The sequence below is a fragment of the Homo sapiens genome, chromosome 8 (genome assembly GCF_000001405.40).
Source record: "Homo sapiens chromosome 8, GRCh38.p14 Primary Assembly".
Taxonomy (NCBI): Eukaryota; Metazoa; Chordata; class Mammalia; order Primates; family Hominidae; genus Homo; species Homo sapiens.
Window position 1 is genome coordinate 122,604,484 of NC_000008.11, and position 3,435 is coordinate 122,607,918.

At 46.3% G+C, this 3,435-nt stretch overlaps 1 annotated feature.

Annotated features, from left to right (window-relative positions):
• Positions 2,407 to 2,701: an enhancer, noted in NCBI's record as "tiled region #11925; K562 Activating DNase matched - State 3:PromF". NCBI's record gives its function as "activates a minimal TATA promoter and a strong SV40 promoter by Sharpr-MPRA in K562 cells {active_cell/tissue: K562}" and the evidence as "EXISTENCE:reporter gene assay evidence [ECO:0000049][PMID:27701403]".

Here is a 3,435-nt window from a genome sequence, read left to right on the forward strand (position 1 = left end):
CCTCCTGGATTGTTTTCTCACTCATAATTAAATTCAGAATGCATCTGGTTCACAAACGATCCTTGGTAACAATCAACAAGTGCTTACTGAGCACCTACTATGCGCCAGGCATTCTGTCTATCTCTGAGGATTTAAAAATTAATAAAACCCAGCCCTTGCTTACAGTCTTGAGACTGAGAAAGAAATAGAAAGAAAGCAAACAAAATTGTATATACAGTTTTAGTGCAACCAAATAAGGGCTATAACAAATATCTAAGTTGTATTTGTTTTTCCTAACTTACTGTGTATGTGACCCAAAGACTTGGGTTTTTGAGATCTAAAAAGAAGCATTGAAATCTCAGCTCTGCTATATAATATTGGGGAAAATTACTTAGTTTCTCTAGGCCTCTATTTCCTCATCTGTGAAATGGACATTAAAATGATACTAAGTTAAAAGAATCTGTGTGAAACTTAAATGAGATAATATTTGTGCTTGCCTCCTATAAATCCTAAAGAACCTATGGAGGAGGTTTAGGAACCTCCAGCTTTGTGCAGTGTCTGCACAAGGCCCTGCTCAGAATGTCTGTTACATCGAACAGAAAGGGGAAGACAAGAACATGCTCCAGAAATGGAGGAGAGGCTGAGCCTTCCCTTCTTCACCCTGGAAAGATAAAGTCCTATGTCAGTCCTATGGGGGAGGGTCTGGCAGTCTGTTGCTCACAGCAAGTAAAAAGCCAGAACTGTGTGTACCAGAGGCCCTAGGTTAAGCCTAAGCTGTTCTCTTCTCATAGCTGGTTAGGCCTAAAGGATGGATTGCGGTGAGGAGGAGCCACGAGTCTATTTCGTGGCTTGTACAGCAAGAGAGCCAGGAGCTAGGCACACGTTGGATCCACACAGAGCCCATTCCCAGGTCAGAGGAGAGTCTGAGGCTACCCAGGAGCCTTTTCTGTGTTGGGCTGCCACCTCGGCCCCCCGCACCTGCCACCTGAGCCTTACAGAGAGGGCGCTTTAAGAAACAAAAGAGCCACTTCCACAATAAATCTCACTGAGCTACAACACAAGGCAGTCCTACACTGAGACAGAAGCAATGGCAGGTGACCCAAAAGTGGAGGAGGGGTCTCCCCACTCCACTGAGGAGCATGACAAGGCTTCTGCAGCACAGCCATGGCAGTGCTCAGTGATCTGGGGCTGGCCCAGCTATGGCTTGGTGGTGAGGCAACTTAGCCTCAGAGGCCTGGGCTAAGGACATCGTCTCAGGAATCCAGAGCCCAGACCAGAGCAGGAGACCAGGAAAAGGGCAGGTGGCATGGCGACAGAGCCGAGGTTCTAACCACACAGAAGCCACCATCTGAGCTTCCCAGAGACTGGGAGAGAACTCTCAGGGGACCTGGTGGGAGGGAATCAGAGCTACAAAAAAAGCAAAATCCCTGCTGTTACTGTGACTTTGTTTTTGTGCCCTCAGGTTGGAGCAGCCTGCAACACCCAAATTGCAGCTATTTACTCTGAGGTGTGTTAAAAGTATATTCCTAAGAGCAAATCTGTTGTCATGTAAATTCCATCTGGGGAGTAAAGGAAAAGCAAAGGAAACCCTGCGCCTCATCTCCCTGCCTTGCCGAGGGTGTTTTACGGGTGAGGCTAAAGGTCAGGAGTCTATTGCAGTGACAGAGGAGGGACACCCAGAGGTGGATGTGGGCAGGAAGGGAGCAGGAGAAAGGATGTCCTGAGATAGGAATGGGGCTATGCAGGAAGAGAACATGGAAACTATTAACTGGCAAAGAAGTGCAGGGCAAGGGCCTGGATGTACTTGCTATTCCAAAACTGCCCTGAAGAAATCCAACTTTATGTCTTTAATTAGGACCGTGGTGCAGACAGCCTGTAGGGTGAGTGGATAGCCATACCACAAAGCACAAGCTCTCTCTGTCCATTGCTGAAGGACGTGAGGCATTGCTCTTGTGGCCGGGATCATGATTAGGCTCCTGCTGGCTGGCTCCCGCTGGAAGCACAGATCTGAAGGAACGCACATCACAACCTCCAAAGTCAAACATCTGGGCCTTTAGAAGAAGATAGGCTGTCAAGAAGAGTTAGCTGGGAAGCTTTAATAGAGCAAAAAACTGAAAAGCCCAGCTGTGGAGCCAAGCATCCAGTTAGCTCTGATTCTTGCTTGAAGCCTGTTCAAACAGAAGCCCTTTCATTCTTGATGTAGAAAGGACAGCTTTGCTCGAACTTTCTGCCATTAATTTATCTGCACTGTTGAAAAGAGGAAGTCTTTCTTTCCCCAACAAAAACAAAGCATTCTTCCTCATATTTGTGCAATAATGGAGCCCAGATCAGGCAAAGGCTCACCGTGGGCCTGGGATTGGAAACCAGGTACTCACAGATGAGTCTACGCTGCTCACTGCTGAGTAGCTTCCCTGAAATATTTTCCTTTACTCCCAGAACAAAGCCCTCTTCCTCTGAAACAGCAATTTCACAGAGTCCAAGAGCCCAGAGAGCAACTGGCCTTATCCACTTCATTTCCCCACTGCGCTCAGCACAGTGTCTGCACAAAGCCCCACCCACAATGTCTGTTACATTGAAGAGAAACGGGAAGTCAAGAAAATGCTCCAGAAATGGAGGAGACACTGAGCCTTCCCTTCTTCACCCTGGGAAGGTAAAGTCCTATGTCAGCAGTCAGCAAAGTATTACTGTTAACTACACAGCAAGTGCAAAGGCAGAGCTGTGTGCAGCAGGGGCCCTCGGTTGAGCCTAAGCTGTTCTCTTGCAGGTCTTGTTATGCCTGGAGGAGGGACGGGGATGGGTAGCCACAGATCTATTTCCAGAGACATGGGGATTCAGCATGTACCCCAAAAGAGCCAGGAGCCAGGCATACACATTGGATCCACATAGATCCCACCCCCAGGTCAGAGGAGATTCTGAGGCTACCCAGGGGCCTTTTGTGTATTGGGCTGCCTCTTACTGTAAGAGGACAAAGCGAATATGTTAGGTTTTATGGGCCAAAAAGCAAAATCAAAGATATTATCATATGTGTACATAACAAGAATGAAACATATTTTTATAATTTTATCCAATCATTTAAAAATGTAGAAACCATTCTTAGCTCTTGAGCACCACATAAGAACAGGCAGCTGGCAGATTTAGCCTGCAGGTCACAGTTTGCCAACTCTGGCCTATGTCCTCAGCTACTTCACCAAGGTCCCCCTGCCTTTTTCGTGTTTTAAATGTCTGACTTACTGAGTTTTATTTGACCAAGGCAGAGTAGAATAAGATGCAATGACTTGACATCAATTTAATTTCCACATCATTAAATGCTCTTGTTCAACTTATGTTCAAACAGCCAATACACACAAAATGAAATTTAGCTCCTTATCCACACTAGCTGAGCCTCTTTTAAAATGCAAGTAGAATGTTTGGAAAACCACAGAGTTTTCACCTAAGGAAGGTTACCAAAGTTTTTAA